The sequence below is a fragment of the Homo sapiens genome, chromosome 13 (genome assembly GCF_000001405.40).
Source record: "Homo sapiens chromosome 13, GRCh38.p14 Primary Assembly".
Taxonomy (NCBI): domain Eukaryota; kingdom Metazoa; phylum Chordata; class Mammalia; order Primates; family Hominidae; genus Homo; species Homo sapiens.
Genome location: NC_000013.11, coordinates 30,989,310 through 31,007,175, shown reverse-complemented (window position 1 = coordinate 31,007,175; position 17,866 = coordinate 30,989,310). Strand labels below are relative to the sequence as shown.

The 17,866-nt window shown below is 45.0% G+C and overlaps 1 long non-coding RNA gene across 1 annotated transcript, besides 2 other annotated features; it reads left to right on the top strand.

Annotated features, from left to right (window-relative positions):
* Positions 1,326-1,856: an enhancer, noted in NCBI's record as "H3K27ac-H3K4me1 hESC enhancer chr13:31579457-31579987 (GRCh37/hg19 assembly coordinates)". NCBI's record gives its function as "activates a minimal SCP1, AML or CMV promoter by ChIP-STARR-seq in naive H9 embryonic stem cells {active_cell/tissue: H9 hESC(naive)}" and the evidence as "EXISTENCE:reporter gene assay evidence [ECO:0000049][PMID:30033119]".
* Positions 1,857-2,387: an enhancer, noted in NCBI's record as "H3K27ac-H3K4me1 hESC enhancer chr13:31578926-31579456 (GRCh37/hg19 assembly coordinates)". NCBI's record gives its function as "activates a minimal SCP1, AML or CMV promoter by ChIP-STARR-seq in primed H9 embryonic stem cells {active_cell/tissue: H9 hESC(primed)}" and the evidence as "EXISTENCE:reporter gene assay evidence [ECO:0000049][PMID:30033119]".
* LINC01066 (long intergenic non-protein coding RNA 1066) lies at positions 10,919-12,014 on the top strand. Its single transcript, NR_189306.1, has 2 exons — positions 10,919-11,122; positions 11,701-12,014. It is a non-coding gene; the product is annotated as a long intergenic non-protein coding RNA 1066 (long non-coding RNA).
* The last annotated feature ends 5,852 nt before the right edge of the window (positions 12,015-17,866 follow it).

Sequence of the window (17,866 nt, the reverse complement as noted above, 5' to 3'; positions counted from 1 at the left end):
TTAATAGGGTATATCTCATAGTAAGTGCTCTTAACACACACACACACACACACACACACACACACACACACACACGGCATAGGGAAAGTTTTGGAGGTAGTGGATATGTTTATTACTTTTTTTGTGATGATGGTTTCATGGGTGTATGCATATGTCCAAATTCATCAAATTGTATACATTCAATATGCACAGTTTATTATGTATCTAGTTGATAAATAAGGCTAGTTGATAAATAAATAGCAATAAAAAAGCTCAATATTGTATTGTATCTAGTTGATAAATAAAGTGCAAAAAAAAAAAAACCCAAAAAAACAAAAAACCCAGGTTGGCCTCAGTTAAAAACTCACTCTCAGCCATGAAGTATGCCCCATAAAGCTCTGTCATCCTCTGACAGCTGCCAAAACTTCCTACATTATCCCAGCAGACTGAAAAAAGACTTGCTGGGAATGGGAAGGTTGAAGTGGAGCCAACACAGATGACTTCTGTGTGCCCCAACTTGAGAGGGGACCAGCAATAGATTCCTCCTGAGGCTCCACCATGCTTGAAAGTGCATCACACACAGGGTAACGGGTTTCAGACTTCCTTGACTGTGACCATTTCACAGGACTCAAATGACTCCATCTTCACTTGGAAACAAAAGTTTCGCACTGCTTATGCTTATGCTGGAAGCTGCACTTTGACAGTAACTGTTGGTCAGTATTTTAGATGCCAGTCATATTCCAGTAAATCAATTTTCTGACCCATTGATCTCACCCACAGTATGAAGATCCCTGCCTTCAGGAAAGCCTCTTTTGTTATATTATTTGCACAGGTCACTAAGGGAAAAGGAAAAAACCCCAGTTCTTAACTCCTTATGATCCATTTCCACCTTACCGTTCAACATTAGTTTTATTTCTGCTGTCCATCAAGGCCCATCTCAAATGCTACCTCCTCCAAGAAGCCTTCCGTGTTCCCAAAGCCGCAAGTAATTTCCCCCTCTCAGTTTCCCTGTTAGGATTACATGTCGTTTGGATACAGTCTTCCTCTCCCATTGAGTTCCTGCTTCCTAGAAATTAGCCATGAGTCCATCATCTGCACAGATTTTGCCATTTCGGTGTCATTTACTGAATATTCTTCTTCAAGTAGCCTCACTTATTTTACATACTACCTTCTTTAGCCTCACTCTAAACAAAAGTAATCTTGAAATAATGGATTTCATGTACTTGTTATACTCTTACAGCATGTTAACATGTAAATGACATTATTAAAATTTTAAAAATCTCATTATGGTACCACCTAAAAACAACTCTTTTGAGGAAAAAATGCGCTAGCTGTGTAAAGCCTTGAGGGGCTGGATTTTGTTTAAGTTTGATTTTTCTCTAGGGCCCAGTCTATGGAATTGCTCCATAAATGTTTGCTGAATTGAAATCAAGTGCAGGGGATTACTGGAAATTATTTATACACTAACATTGTTAGCATGAATCTGATTTATCCAAAGAGGTGATTGTCACTCTGGAAAGTCAAGAATGGGATTGGACTGGAAAGGAAGTGGGCATAGAAAGGGAAGTATTGGTGGGCATGGGAAAATTAGAGGAAGAAACTCGCAGAAGCTGGCCATGTGTGTACGGGGGTGGCTGGGAGGTGTGCGAGTTTGGGGAGGGGAGTTATAGGCAGCAAAGGCGGGATGCCACCTTCCGCAGCAGGCCACCAAGCACCTGTTCTGGACCTGGGCTTTAAACGGGGTCATTGGCAGAAGGCTAACCTCCTGGCCGTGCCTAGGGGATTCCAGCCCCGTCCCAAGGTCCCGCCTGGCAGACTGCCCTGGCCCACCGATGTGGCTGCGCCCCTACCTTTTCTGCGCTTGGGCTCCTAGCCAGGCCTGAGTGGTGCGGAAGCTCCTCGGTTCCCACAGAGTGGCTGTGCATTCTCCGCCGGGTGAGGCAGGCCCACCCGGGGGTCGGCACTCGGCGGCCCCTGCTGGTCCATCGGCCAAGACCCAGCGGGGCAGGTTTGGGCTAGAAGCATCACGGGTCCCTCAGGATCGCCGCTGTGTTCAGTATGCTGCACAGACCCCACCCGAGACACTGGCCCATCAGGGTCTCGGTGAGACTGGGCCCACCCAGCCCGCATGCGACTCCCTTCTGTGCAGCCACAACAGCCACCTTCCCACGAAAATGACTCTAGAAGGTAGGGGGATAGGCGCTCTGCCTTTATTGATCAAGATGGAAGACATCAGGCTGAAAGACCTTCTCACCCTCTTTAGGAAGAAAAGAAAGAAAAGCAGGAGCCTGGCACGGTGGCACGTGCCTGTATTCCCACCTGCTCAGGAGGCGGAGGCAGGAGGATCACTTGAACCCGGGAGAGGTCAAGACCAGCCTGGACAACATAGCAAGACCCTGTCACAAAAGATAATCATAAAAATAATACTTCTTTCTTATTTATTCATAAATAATGAATGAAAAACAGGACAAGAAAGGGGTCTCTATCCCAGCCACTCATTTCTTAAATGCTTTTAGTTCTGCACATGTAATGTAACAAGTAAGTAGTAAACTACCAAGGAAAAAAATCCACAGAAGGTAAAGATTGTAATCACATAAAGTCTACCACAAAGTGAATCTGACATGTATTTCATGATAATTTTGATTGTATTACATGGTAATTAGATATAAGTGACAGTTTGTTTAAACAATAATCCTAATTACAGTTAATTTTACAACAGCACTTTGGGGGCTGCTCAGGAAAATTCCCAAAGGTGCCTGAGATCGCGGTTCTTCCATATGAGTGTTTCCGTCTTGAGGAAACAGAGGCAACAATAGATTCTAGGCTTCTATGCCCAAGTACTCTGCCCTTTCGTGTCTGTGCTTAGGAGAACATAATGCCTACTAGTCCCTTGCTTAAACTTCCTCCGTTTAAAGATCTTGCTTGCTGGATCTTCTTGAAATAGAGAGATTAGGGGAAAACTCATCTCTCTGGTTGCCAAATAGGGCCGCAGAAGTTTGCAAGCTCATTTCATCTTGCCCCTAATTTGACTCAGGGGAAAGGAAGTTGTCTCATTTAGGGCCCAGCTGTAGGTTATAAGCTGGACTGCAGGTCTTCTGTCCCCTGTCATCAGAGGACTGCCATCTTCAGGGCTCAGGATTTGTGGGTGATTAACAGTGCCACTTTAGGCAGGAGGCTGGGAGCATCGTGGTAAAACCTGGATGTGGCTTGGATTCTGCATGTAGGAATCCATACTACATAGTCTGTGAAACTCTTTAAGGACACTCTCTGCGGGGCACGGTGGCTCACGCCTGTAATCCCAGCACTTTGGGAGGCCAAGGCGGGAGGATCACGAGGTCAGGAGTTCGAGACCATCCTGGCTAAAACAGTGAAATCCTGTCTCTACTAAAAAATACAAAAAATTAGCCGGGCGTGGTGGCGGGCACCTGTAGTCCCAGCTACTCGGGAGGCTGAGGCAGGAGGATGGCGTGAACCCGGGAGGCGGAGCTTGCAGTGAGCCTGGATCACGCCACTGCACTCCAGCCTGGGCGACAGAGCGAGACTCCGTCTCAAAAAAAAAAAAAAAGGACACTCTCACTCTTGGAGCCCTGATTTTTTTTTTTTTTTTTTTTTGAAACGGAGTCTCGCTCTGTCACCAGGCTGGAGTGCAGTGGCGCCATGTCAGCTAACTGCAAGCTCCGCCTCCCGGGTTCAAGCGATTCTCCTGCTTCAGCCTCCCAAGTAGCTGGGGCTACAGGCATGCGCCACCGTGCCCAGCTAATTTTTGTATTTTTTAGTAGAGATGGGGTTTCACCATGTTGGCCAGGATGGTGTTGATCTTTTGACCTCATGATCCGCCCACCTCGGCCTCCCAAAGTGCTGGGATTACAGGAGTGAGCCACCATGCCCGGCCCGGTGCCCTGGTATTTAATTTCACTGTGTCCAAAGAACACAGAGTCTACCCTAGAGGAAAGAATCCTCTACTAACGGCAGGCCCTACACTCCGAAAGGCCAAACCAAGCTTCTCTGGGGTCAGGTAAAGGGAAGGTGGAGAGACGGGGTGAACTGAGTGAAGCAGGATTTGGGTGGATGGGAGAGGGGAGAGGGAGTAGAGATGATTCTGGAGCGTGGAGCACTTAAGCGAAGTACTTGGGGCAACCAAAGTGAGAGCACTGGGACTTGGCAGGAAGGGGACTGATGGGGGAGAGAAGGATAGGAGATGGGAGCGTTATGGATGCATCACCTTTTTAGCTAGGGCAGTCAAGTATAGAGCTACAGCTGTACAGCTTACGATATTTAATTTCCCCAACTGTCAAGTGGTGATCATCACAGTGCCTGCCTCATAGAGCGAAAAGGAAAGCTAATGTTATAACGTGTGGGCAGTGTTTAGAGTAGTGCAAGGCATGTAGCAGGTGCTCCATGCATGTTGACTATTATCATTATTATCATCGAGGCCAGGACAGCCTCCTACTATCCTACAAGAGGCTGGCCACAAGCCCTTGACGCTCTAGCTCACAGCTGATTGGGCATAGTATAAAGGATGTCCATCAATCCGAGGACTATTGAAAAGATGGGCTGGACCAGTGAGAGTCTCTCTCGGTGTTTAAACTAGCACATTTGCAAAGTATCCTGGCGGGACCGAAAGAAGCAGGCATGTGGAGTGAGCTGAGTTGTATAAACAGTGGGGTTCCAGGGTAAAAATTTTGAGCTATTTGTTCTTGGGTCCCTGAATATCCTTTGAATCCAAAGCCACTCTCCCTCCAGCTTAATAAGGACCAGCCCTGAGACAGCTTCTTGCTCTAAGATTTCTGTGAGATTTTTTGTTATTCCACCTGCGTCCCTACCACGAAGCCTTTTGGCTTGAGTCAACTCCAGGGGATTCTGTTCCTTGCAATCCAAAAAGCCAAAATAGAAGGAACTAATTGTCTTTCTGGTGGAATGTCCACACATGATTCCTATCTTCTTCTCTTTGCTTTTCTCTTTATTTTCTACAGTGAGCCTAAACAATCAATTTATAATTTTCTATAATGAACACTTATTTTGTAGCCAAAAAAAAAAAAAAGTGTTGTTTAAATGAAAGAATTAGCCCATCCATTTGTAGCAAGCAGAATGTTTGCAGGAAAAAGACCAAGGAACTTTAGGTCAGCTCTGTGTTCAAGTGGCTTTCTTTCTTTCTTTTTTTTTTTTTTTGAGATATGATCTCATTGTATTCCCAGACTGGAGTGGAGTTACGTGATTCCAGCTCCTTTCAGCCTTGACCTCCCGGGCTCAAGCTCAGCTCCCCCAAGTAGCTAGGGCCACAGGCATGCACCACCATGCCTGGCTAGTTTTTAAATCTTCTGTAGAGATAAGGTCTCACTATATTGCTCAGGCTGGCCTTGAACTCCTGGGCTCCAGCAATCCACTTGGCTTCAGCCTCTCAAAGTGCTAGGATTAGAGGTGTGAGTCATTGTACCTGGCTGAAGTGGCTTTCTAACTATCCAGTCATGTGACCTTGGCCATGCTGCCTCACTCTCTGAGCCTTGCTCCTAAAATTAGAAGGTGTGCTAAGGAATCCCTAGGTTTCCTTCTGGTTCTAAATACTGTTGCTATCCCAGCTTAGCAGAATCTGTACCCGCAAAGCTGCAGCTAGTCTGCAGGGGGTGGTTTACTTGGGAGTCAGCCTCTGTTCAACACTGAAAGCAGCTCCTTCAGAATGGGAGCGGGCACAGTGAGGGAGCACTGCTGGAACTCATCACTCATTTCTTCCTCCATCATCTTACTTTGACCAGCATTTGTTAAAAACGTACCCTACACCAGACAACATGCTAGCTGCTGAGACAGTGAAGACAAAACCAAGGACAGAGAGGCGAGCCAACAATTTTATACCACAGTAAGTGCCATGTCAGAGGGTGTCCTTGGGGCTCTTCAACAACACGGAGAGGAAGCCGTTAACTCTGGCTGCCAAGGTTGGGTGGGGAGGTGCTTCCCAAAGGAGAAGCCATTGGAAGGGTAAGTATTAGTTTTTCAGGCAGACAAGAGGGGCTGTTCTTCCAGGAACAGACAGAACAAGTACAACCGTGCAGAAGCAACAATGAGCTGGATGCTGGATGTAGTCATGGCGCTGCTAGTGATTAAGCATGAGGAAATTCTGGCACCAGCCAGGAAAAGGAAAGAGATAAGGCCAAAAAATGTGTAGAGGTGGGATCCTGAAGGAAAGTGCAGGTCATATTAAGGAGGTTGGATTTCATCATTCCTAAGAAAATGAAGAGTCATCTCAGCAAGGCTTCGGAGAAAGACCATTTTCCCTGTAGCATGGAGAGATTGGAAGTGAAGGAGATCCTTTGCAGCAGCCCAGGATGGAAGTGCAGTGGACCTGCAGCAAGGCAGGACAGTGGGGATGGAGACAAGCAGCAGCAGTGACTGCAGGGCTTGGGGAGAGGAAGGATGGCTCCAGGGTTCTGACTGGCACAGTGGGAAGAGGCTATGAGAAAAGGAGAAAAGAAATGGAGTTTAAGATAATTGATTCTGCTGGAGTCATCAAAGCCCCTTTTGAGATATCTGGGTAAAGAGGCTTACCAGGAAATTAGCAATAAAGGTCTGGAGCTCAGGAGAGCTATGGGAGGCACCATTGCAGCAGGGTGAGGTTACTCAGAAAAGGGGTCCCTCAGGACAGACAGTGGGAAAGCGTGTCTTGTCCTCATGCAGAAATGTTGGTGTCATTGATGTCTGTGTGCACAAGGAATCAGGCATCTGATGGCAATGGTCGAGATTAGTACTTCAGAGGTGATTGTGCCCACAGATTAATAGAAGAAGATCAGAACTTGGGGGTCTATACTGGAAAATAGGAAGCCAGAGGATTTAGGAACGAGGGAGATAAGAGTCAGAGACAAGCCCTGGAGCCAGAGACAGTGGAGCTTGCCCTCACATGAGTGAGGCGTGGTGGGTGGGGGTCCCACTGATCCTAAAGGTGCAGGGTAGCCTTCCCTGGAGGCAGGATTTCTCCCCCGGTTGTCTGACTGGCTCCTCCATCTTCAGCATGCTGGGAGCTGCTGCAGACTCATTCCCTAGGAACGATCCCACCATATAACCAGCTGCCCAGCCTCCCAAACAGAGTCATCTTTTACTCTCCCGTTCCTCACTCTCCTGGAAACAGAAGCACCATCTGACCTGCTGCCGACACTCAGAAGTCCAGCCATGATTTTACTCTTTCTCACCCTCATCCCCTTTATCTGCCCAGGGCCATGTCATTAGCCAGTGTCCTCCTGTTGTCCGCTGTCACTGTGACCCCCAACAGCAGTGGTTTCTGGGGCCCCCTAACTTTTGCCATTCTCCGTGATCCTTCTAGATCCCAGATCTACTTTCCTGACCCTTCCTTTCCTTGTGCCACCCTCTGCTTGGAGCCTGGGGCTTCCCCCTGCCCCATGGTCAGTACAGCCCCACTGCCTTCCACCTGCCTCTCTCGGGTTTTCTGACCTCGGGCAAATTATTTAACTTTTGTGATCTGAACTTTCTTGTCTGTAAAATGAGGTGGTTGGACCAGGTGATCTCCAAGTGCTTCCTGCAATTTTTCTGCTGCACTTTAAAGACTTTTCTGATAAGTCTCCCCCGACCCCAACTCACACAAACCCCAGGCTTACAGGTCCCCTCACCAGCCCAGTCTCCCCTAAGTCCTTTTGCTCAGTTGTTCCCCCACAAGGCACCTCTCCATTGCAGCAGATGTGTACACGGAGGTCGAAGCCTCTGTTACAGGTCGAGGCTATGCTGGTTCAGTGGTGGGTGTGGGATACAGCCCAGGCCTCTCTATCCATCTGTTCCTCTTTGTGTCTGACCAAGACTAGGTCCAGTTGGGTAGGGACAGGTCACATGATTTTATCATACTACTTAATTAAAAAAAAAATTTCTGCATTCTTCATTAAATGTTTTCATGGTTTTTGTGAAGGTCAGTGACTTCCTCACCAGGAAATCTCTAATTCAGGCTTCCTTTGACAGTGCATTTAGGTTTGTACTGACATATCCAAATGCAACCATCATGGGTCATTCCTGCACACTCTCCCCATCCCCAGCCCTTTTACCGGGACCTGCCTGTCCCTACCTGCTCCCAATGTTTGTGTTTGCCAGACCACCCTCTTCTCTCCTTCCTACCTTCCTGTTTCTGGCTCTTGTTTTCACATCCAACACACATCCACTCCCAACACCCCATCAGGCTCTCTTATTGGGAAGATCCACCGGGCCCAGTTCTTATTGGGAAGATCCATTGGTTTAGCATCCAGCCTGCCCTCAGTGGACCTGAGCCCCACCCTTGGCTGTTGTGACCACCAGTGGCTGTGGGTGGAACTCTCATTACCTGCTCTCCTCCCTGCCCACAGGTCCTTCACACACCTCCCCCTCCATCTCCAGCCTGCTGAAACACAGACACAGAAGGGAGACTGAAGAAGTCCTGTGCAAACAGAAGTTTAAATAAAGCTAAGCAGTTCAGACAAGAGCTAATCCAAACCATCACAGGGATGCATTTGTGTGGCGGTCAGATCAGAGCCAACACTAACATCCTCAGCTCCCTTGAATTCTGTGAATTCTGTCTGCAGAATGTGCTTACAAGGCTGGGAGACATCGGCCTGCTTCAGATCAGGAGCTGGCATGCCCTGGTTGCCCATGGCAACCCAGCTGCACGGGAGTGCTGGCGTTTGTAAATGTGTGTGGGCTTAAAATTATATTATTGATTCTGTCTGGAAGAAGATAGTCTGATTTGTATATAGCTCTGAATAAATTACTCCTTATCCTTTACAGCCATTGGAGTATGAACCTCTCTCTCTTTCTCCTTTTCTTCTTCTTCTTTTTTTTTTTAGAGAGACAGCAAATTGTGTCAGCAGATGTGAAATGAAATGTTTCCCATAACAACCGTACTAGAGGAATCAACATCCAGGGCACCAGCCTGGAAAGTAGTCCAGGCATTACTGAATAAATAGCAAATGGATTTGGGAGAGATGGAGACTCTATCGGGTAGTCTATTCCAAAGGGAACATACGGTGTACTCTGAATTACAGTGAGATGCAGCCAGGAATAGAGAGACAGGCAGCTCCACCCTGGACTCCATCACTTCAACCTGAGTCCAGGCTTTCTCTTTTGTCTTCTCCCATGTGTGGTATATACTCAGTGGACTCAATTATTGCCCCAATTCCTCCTGCTCCTTATATCCATACTCTTTGCCCTATAACCCTGTGAATCCTCCTACAAAAGGCATCATGCACTGCCCTTGACTCCAGGCTTGGTCTTGCAGCTCGCTTTGACTAACTGACAGAAGTGGCAGGGTGCCAGTTGCGAGTCTAGGCTTTAAAAGGTTTCAAGGAGTTTCCACTTGCCCTCCTGTCATCACTGTGAGAAGAGTCTGCCTCTGGTAGCTGCTGTCATTTTAGCTGGGACCCAGATGAATACACATGGGGAGGAGTCACCACCTGCAAATCCAGTCAGATCAACAGCTCTAAGACCTACTCCAGCCTAGACAAGCCACTCCAGCCAAGCAGCAGATGCATGTGAAATAAATGTTTATTGCTCTATGCCACCAAGATTTTGTAGGTGCTTGCCTTGCAGCAGTAGCTGACTGATAGAATCTTCCATTTTTTCAACATCATGGCAATCAGTATCACTGACAATGGGAAAGAAAAGAACAACATCCCTCAGCTCCCCATTTCGGCAGTCACTGATCACAGGCCTTATTGAGAGGAAATCCAGGTCATGCATTACAATTTCAACTCACGTTGGGTCCTCACTGTGCACTGTGTCATCAAACATGGTGTTGCCACCAGGTGCATTCTGGAGGCCAGTGCATCTGAGAAGCTCCAAGTAAATTATAAGACTCTGTCTCCACCACTGCTTTAGTGCCCATGAAAGTCTTGTTCAAATATGGGTGGGATTACATTTGAATCGAGGAGGAATAATGGCATTATACCTCCCAGAATGCATTGTAAACACTGCCTTCAATTAATCTTAGAATGAACACCTTTACCAGAATGCCAACCTCATGCTCCTTCTAACTTCCACATTTCCACCCTTCCGTCAAGGTTCATATTATACAAGTACATTCAATCAATTTTCAACAAATATTTATTGAGCACCTGATGTTGGCTGGGCCCTTGGAGCACCATGCTAGATAACAGATTGAACAGAAAAAAAGTGGTGGAGTTGTGTCATTAGGGAAGGTAAGAGTCAAGACTGACTCCTGGGCATCTGTCCTGAACAACTGGGCAGATGGAGATGCCATTTTCTAAGCTGGAAACACTTGGGGAGTTGCTGATTTGGGAAATATAAAAATTTCTGTTTGGAATATATCATGTTTGAGATGCTTCTGAGACATGAACGTTGAGATGTCAAATGGACAGTTAGGTGTCCAGATATGGAGCTCAGAGGAGAGGTCAGAGCTGAGGCTATCAATTTGGAGGGTTGCCAGCATGTGGATGCCATTTAAAACCACAGGACTAGAGCCCGGGTGAGATTTTCTAAGCAGAGAGCACTCATAGAGAAGAGGGCCCAGGAGGATATTTAGAGGAGAGGCAGAGGAGGACTAAGCAAAGGGGTTGACAGGGGAGCAGCTGGAGAGATAGGAGGAACACCAGAAGACTGTGCAGGCAGACACTGGTGCTTGCCATGCTGTGTTAGCTCACTCTGTGTTGCTATAAAGAAATACCTGAGACTGGGTAATTTATAGAGAAAAGAGGTTTATTTGGCTCACAGTTCTGCAGCCTGTATGAGAAGTGTGGTGCTGGCATCTGCTTCTGGTGAGGCCTCAGGAAGCTTGCAATCATAGCAGAAGGCAAAGGGGGAGCAGGCATGTCACATGGTGAAAGAGGGAGCAAGAGAGAGAGGAAGAAGAGGTGCCAAGGCTCCTTTAAACAACCAGCTCCCATTGGAACTAGCAGAGTGAGAACTCACTCATTACCATGGCAACTGCACCAAGCCATTCATGAGGGATCCACCCCCATGACCCAGACACCTCCCACCAGGCCCAACCACCAACACTGGGGATCACATTTCAACATGAGTTTGGAGGGGACACACATTCAAATCACAGCACATGCTTTTCCACCCAGCAGCCATTCTGCCCATCTTTCCCTGGCTGACAGAACTCTGCCTTCGAGTAGGTGTTGGGGGTCATGCCCTTCATGAAAGGAGGAGTTTCTCTCTCATCTCGGTGGGTGAATCAAGCGGCCTGAGACAAGCATGGCAACCCACTGTCCTCTCTGATTTGGGCTTAGTCATAAGCATTTAACACAACTTTGGCCAATCAGATGTAGGTGGAAGTCTACTGGGTGGCTTTTGGGGAAAGGTTTCTCTGCTTTTAAAAAGTGAAAAAAAGGAGAAAGCAGAGTTCCAGTCCTGCCTCAGAGGGAGCTTCTGCATGGAGGTGCTGCAGAATCTTGCAACCAGGATGAATGTGAGGACTAAAGCTCACACAGTGAGGAATATTCTATTTAAATTACATGTTGAATTAGCCAACTTTGGAGAATTCTCTACCACCTAGTTTATGTTGTAAGGTAATTAATTTTGTAAATGTTTAGGCATTATGGGTCTTCTATGACTTTCAGCTAAAAGCATCTTAAATGGTACTTGTGGTTTCAAGTCAACCTGTTCACTTGACCGTTAACCCATAACTTAATGGATTCTTTTACCTTATTTGGGGAAATAGCAATTACCCAATCTGTTAAGTATATGGTTTGTCAATCTTAACACTAACTTAATATTATGTTTACAATTTGTTTCTTTCAACAGTCAAAAAACAAATTATTCTGCCAAGCAAGGAGCATGTTTTAGCTTAGTCACCACAGAAGAAACAGATCACTTTTAATTATGACATTTCATCAACACTTGGCAAGTAAGAAAGATGGGTTGAAAGACTGCATCAGAAATATTCTAGAGTTATTTTCCTGCTAACATGGAAACAAAAAGATTCAATGTGAGAAGAAAAAATAGATTCCTAATGGTCAAGAGAACAAGAAAATTAGATAGAAACTTAAATATAAAGTACCCGGAAGTCAAAATGTTTGAAATGACACTTAGAGCCTTAATTAACCAGATTTTAAGATAATGACTGTAGTGTCTGTGTCTTCAAATGGTTTGGGATGTCCTTACAGCTCTTTGAATAGTGTTCTCTTTATTCAATTAATGCTTCTGAAAGAGCTTTAATTTTACATTAATCAAAAGCCCTCATGATATTTTCAGGATGTACTCAAATTCAAGAGTTTTTTAAAAGTGCAATTAAGTTATCAAGGCAGAGGCTCTGATTATAGGGACAAAAATTTCATAGCAACAGCCCATTAAACACACTGAGCCTGACACATTGCTGTACACCATGGTTCATGCCAGGCTGTGGGCAAAATGGTCAGGCTTCCCAGTGAACAAGACTGACCTCCCTCTACCTTCCTCCTGAAGAGCAAAATACTGCTTCTTTGACAACATAAACAGTTACCTTATACTACCCATTTTTACAGCAAACGACTCTCTGCCTGTAATCCAAGCTAATGGAATTTTTAAAAATTCTATGAGAGTTTTAAAAAGCAAGGACTGAAAATAGCTTTTTCTTTTTTCTTTTTTTTTTTTTTTTTGAAACTGAGTTTCGCTCTTATTGCCCAGGCTGGAGTGCAATGGCACGATCTTCGCTCACTGCAAACTCCGCCTCCCGGGTTCAAGCGATTCTCCTGCCTCAGCCTCCCGAGTAGCTGAGATTACAGGCATGTGCCACCATGCCCGGCTAATTTTTTTGTATTTTTAGTGGAGACAGGGTTTCTCCATGTTGGTCACGCTGGTCTGGAACTCCTGACCTCAGGTGATCCGCCCGCCTCAGCCTCCCAAAGTGCTGGGATTACAGTCGTGAGCCACTGTGCCTGGTGAAAATAGCTTTTTCTTTTCTTTTTTTAATTATACTTTAAGTTTTAGGGTACATGTGCATAACATGCAGGTTTGTTACATATGTATACATGTTCCATGTTGGTGTGCTGCACCCATTAACTCGTCATTTAACATTAGGTATATCTCCTAATGCTATCCCTCCCCCCTCCCCCCACCCCACAACAGTCCCCGGTGTGTGATGTTCCTCTTCCTGTGTCCATGTGTTCTCATTGTTCAATTCGCACCCACGAGTGAGAACATGCGGTGTTTGGTTTTTTGTCCCTGTGATAGTTTGCTGAGAATGATGGTTTCCAGCTTCATCCATGTCCCTACAAATGACATGAACTCATCATTTTTTATGGCTGCATAGTATTCCATGGTGTATATGTGCCACATTTTCTTAATCCAGTCTATCATTGTTGGACATTTGGGTTGGTTCCAAGTCTTTGCTGTTGTGAATAGTGCCGCAATAAACATACGTGCGCATGTGTCTTTATAGCAGCATGTTTTATAATCCTTTGGGTATATACCCAGTAATGGGATGGCTGGGTCAAATGGTGTTTCTAGTTCTAGATCCCTGAGGAATCGCTACACTGACTTCCACAATGGTTGAACTAGTTTACAGTCCCACCAACAGTGTGAAAGTGTTCATATTTCTAATCTGTTAACAGGAGAGGTTTCTAACATTCCCAAAGCAGAACTTCTTCCTCTCCAGTTCATGGTATCAAATAGCAACACTTCCCAAGTTCTCCTTTACTGCTTAGAATCATGTCCACTCAGTCCTGTGGAGCAATCACTAGTGATCAGAGAGATGCCTTGGGAAGAACATTGTGCTCTTTTTATGCTGGGAGCAGCTGATGCTAATGAGATCTACTCACAGTGGAGGTTCAGCTTCCACTGTCCACGCCAGGGTTTGTTACTGGAGTACCAGGGTAGATTCCTCTTCCCTCCACTCCTCCCCAGGTAAGTGAATCCCATCACATGTGAAGGTAATTGGTGTTCCTGTGAAGTTCAGGTTAGGGGAGAAAATGTCAGGGAGTCAACGAAGAGGAAAATAACTTTGGTATTGAGCTTACTCTCTTATCATCTTGCCCAGCCAGGGTGAGATCAATAATAATTCTAACTTACATTTGGGTGCCACCTGCCATCCAAGACTGAACCCTTATTATCCAGTTCCACTCCTCCCCAACCTCCCTTATCTCAGACGCTAACTGCATTTTTCCAACTGCTTAGGGTAAAGTTTGGAGTCATCTCCCTCCCCTTTCTCTCCCAAACACGCAGTGAGTCCACCAGCAAGTCCCTTTGGCTCTACCTCCATAGAGGTGGATTCCATCAGAATCTACCACTCCTCACTTTCTTTCCCAATACCTCCCAGCACAAGCCATCCATGACTCTCATTTGGGCTTTGCAATAGCCTCCTAATTGGTCTCCCTCTTTCCATTTCTGCCTCCCAACAATATATTCTATGTAGGGAGTGATCTTTTTAAAACAGAAGTTGGATAGTGTCAAGTCTCTACTTAAAACCCTGCCATATTTCTTTTCTCATTCAAAGTAAAGTCCGAATGCAGAGGCACACCATGGTCTGTACTTCTACCTGTTGGACCTCACCTACCACCAGTCTCCCTCATTTCTCTGGAGCCACATTGACCCGCTCTTAGGACATGCAGGGCTCCTATGCTTGTTCCCTCTGCCTGGAAGGCTCTTCCCCGAGATGGTCCCAAGGTTCTCCCCTCCTCCCACACTTCCACCAGGAATGAAGTCAGTGCCATCTTATGGGGAGGGCTTCTCCCACCACCCTACCTCAAACAGCAAACTCTCAGGCCCCTCTATGCCCTTAGCCTGTTGTATTTTTCTTGATACTTCTGAACTCGACATTGTGATACATATTTACATGGCAGATTTATATGAAATACATGTTTGTATTACACCCATTTTATGTTTTTCCTCATACTTTCATACTTGTTATTATAGCAAAGATTTGTGTATTAGTTTGTCAGTTTTCTCCCTTCAGCATATTAGCTCCATGAATGTACATTTATCCCCTTTCCTGAGGAATCCACAGAGCCTAGAACTCTGCCTAACACAGTTGAAGAATGAATTGGCACTTCCCAGTTTGCCAGTGGCTCCCAAATAGTTCATCTACTTAATCCTTGAAATAACTGCTCCAGTGTTGTAATCCTCACCTGCATAGGAAGAAAAAAATCCAGATAAGATGTGATGCATGTGAGATTTCATAATCAGTAAGCAATACAGCCATTTCTGTTTGGAGACGGGCCAGCCCAGCTCTCTGTCCTCAAGTGCAGGGTTCTTTAAACTTCACAAAAATGACCTCTCCCAGCCTTTAAAAAAAAAAGTGTGGAGATGCTCTACTTTTAAATACTACATGTAAGATGGTTCACGCCATTCTCCTGCCTCAGCGCTCGCCACCGCGCCCGGCTAATTTTTTGTATTTTTTTTTTTAGTAGAGACGGGGTTTCACCGTGGTCTCGATTTCCTGACTTCGTGATCCGCCCGCCTCGGCCTCCCAAAGTGCTGGGATTACAGGCGTGAGCCACCGTGCGTGGCCAATTTGCTGAACATTTTTTCAGGCTCTACATTTATGTAAAGATGTACAATTTTATATAAATGAGATCATACTATTTTGTAACCTGCTTTTTTCACTTAGCAAGATATCTAGAGTGTGTTTCCGTATCAATAAAAATAGACCTAAATATGTGCATAATGTTTCATTCTGAATTTCCTTAAAGGTTCCGTATTAATGAGCATAACGGTTGTTGACATTTTTTCCGGAGTTTTATATAGTGCTTTGAGCGGGGCCCTAAAAAGTTAAGAGAAAAAGTTAAAGAACGGGCTTAGCTGGGGTAAAGAGGAACAAATATTCCTAGAAATGGGGTCAACTGCAAAAGGCGCGCTAGCACTCAGGCACCCTGTGACAGGCACTCAGCTCACAGCCCATCTATGCCCCAGCATCCTGTCCACAAGCATTTAGCCTCCTTATAAAACTCCCCTCCAGGCCTTGCCTCTTGGCAGACATCCTTCCTTCCGCTGCCTTGCCCGTTATATCCTTGCAACATACCTCCCCTTTCTGCAATAAACCTGCCTTTCTAAACTCATTCCTGTCTTGGTAAATTATTTTAACTCTTACGCACCAGTCCCAGACAATCACTGACCATGACACTTTGATGAACAATCACAACAAAAACCGGTATGTAAGTTTCCCATTTGTGCAAAGACGTCATTAGAGTATATTTATGAAAATGGAACTCGGAAACATATTGCCAAACTGTCCCTTGGAAAGACTGTACCCAACTTACACTCTGTTATGAGTTGAATTGTATCCCTCAAAAAGATATGTTGCATTTCCAACCTCCAGAACCTGTGAATGCCGTTTTATTTGGAAATAGGGTCTTTGCAGATGTAATCAAGACAAAGTCATGAGGGATTAGAGTGGGCCATAATCCAATATGAGTGGAGTTCTTATAGGAAGAGGAGACTTTGGACACAGACAGACACAGAAGGAAGGTAGAGAATGCCATGTGACAACAGAGGCAGAGATTAGAGTGATAAATCTACAAACCAAGCAATGCCTAGGCTACCAGAAGCTGGAAGAAGCAGGGAAGGATCTTTCCTTATAAGCTTCAGAGGTGCATGGCCCTGCCAAACAGCCTGGTTTCTGACTTCTAGCCCCTAGAACTATGAGATAATAAATTTCTGTTATTTTAAGCCGCCTAGTTTGTGGTGCTTTGATACAGCAACTCTGGGAGATTGATACACATCCCATGAATGCACGAGCGTGCCCTTTACCACCCTTGCTGATGCTGGGTCATCTTTGCCAATGTGACAAACAATTGTCCATTTTTCCATTGAGGCGTTTGTTATTTTCTTATTGATTTACATGAACTACGATTAATATTTGCATAGATAATACTACTATTGCTACTTTTTAATATATGACGCAAATACTTTTTCTGTTATTTGTCTCCTAAACATTTTTACGGTTATGATTTTTTTTTGGTGGGGGGGAGGTCTTTTTAGTTTGTTTTAGCCATACTTTATGTAGACAAATTTAGTAGTCTGTTTATTTAAGTTTCTGGTTTTTGCAGCATGCTTAGAAAGGGCTTTCCTTAGCCACAGATTTTCTTTAAAAATTTTTCTTTATAGTAGAATGATTTATAATCCTTTGGGTATATGTCCAGTAATGGGATTGCTGGGTCAAATTGTATCTCTGGTTCTAGATCCTTGAGGAATCACCACACTGTCTTCCACAATGGTTGAACATGTATGTTTATTGCAGCACTATTTACAATAGCAAAAACTTGGAACCAACCCAAATGCCCATCAATGATAGACTGGATAAAGAAAATGTGACACATATACATCATGGAATACTATACAGCCACAAAAAAGATGAGTTCATGTCCTTTGCAGGGACATGGATGAAGCTGGAAGCCATCATTCTCCGCAAGCTAACACAGGAACAGAAAACTAAACACTGCATGTTCCCACTCATAAGGGGCAGTCAAACAAGGATAATACACGGATGCAGGGAGGGGAACAACACACACTGGGGCCTGTCAGGGGGTAGAGGGCAAGGGAAGGGAGAGTATTAGGACAAATACCTAATGCATGCGGGACATAAAACCTAGAAGACGGGTTGATGGGTGCAGCAAACCACCATGGCACACGTATACCTATGTAACAAACCTGCATATTCTGCACATGCATCCCAGAACTTAAAATAAATAAATAAATAAAATAAAAATTCTTCTAGTAGTTGGAAAATTTTATGTTATAGCTTATAGTTTACATTTGTTTATTTCTTCCATCTGGAATTTATTTTTGTTGAGTAGCAATTTGAAGGTGCATCTTTTTTTTTCTCCAGAGGATTTTTTTTTAAATAACGTGTATTCAATAAGCCGTTTTTTTTCTCACGGTTTTGCACTGGCACCTTTATCACACACTAAGTTCTCATATATATTTTAGCCTTTTTCTTGATCCTATTTTTGTCCTATTAATCTGCTCATCTTTCCTGTTACCTGTAACATAGTAC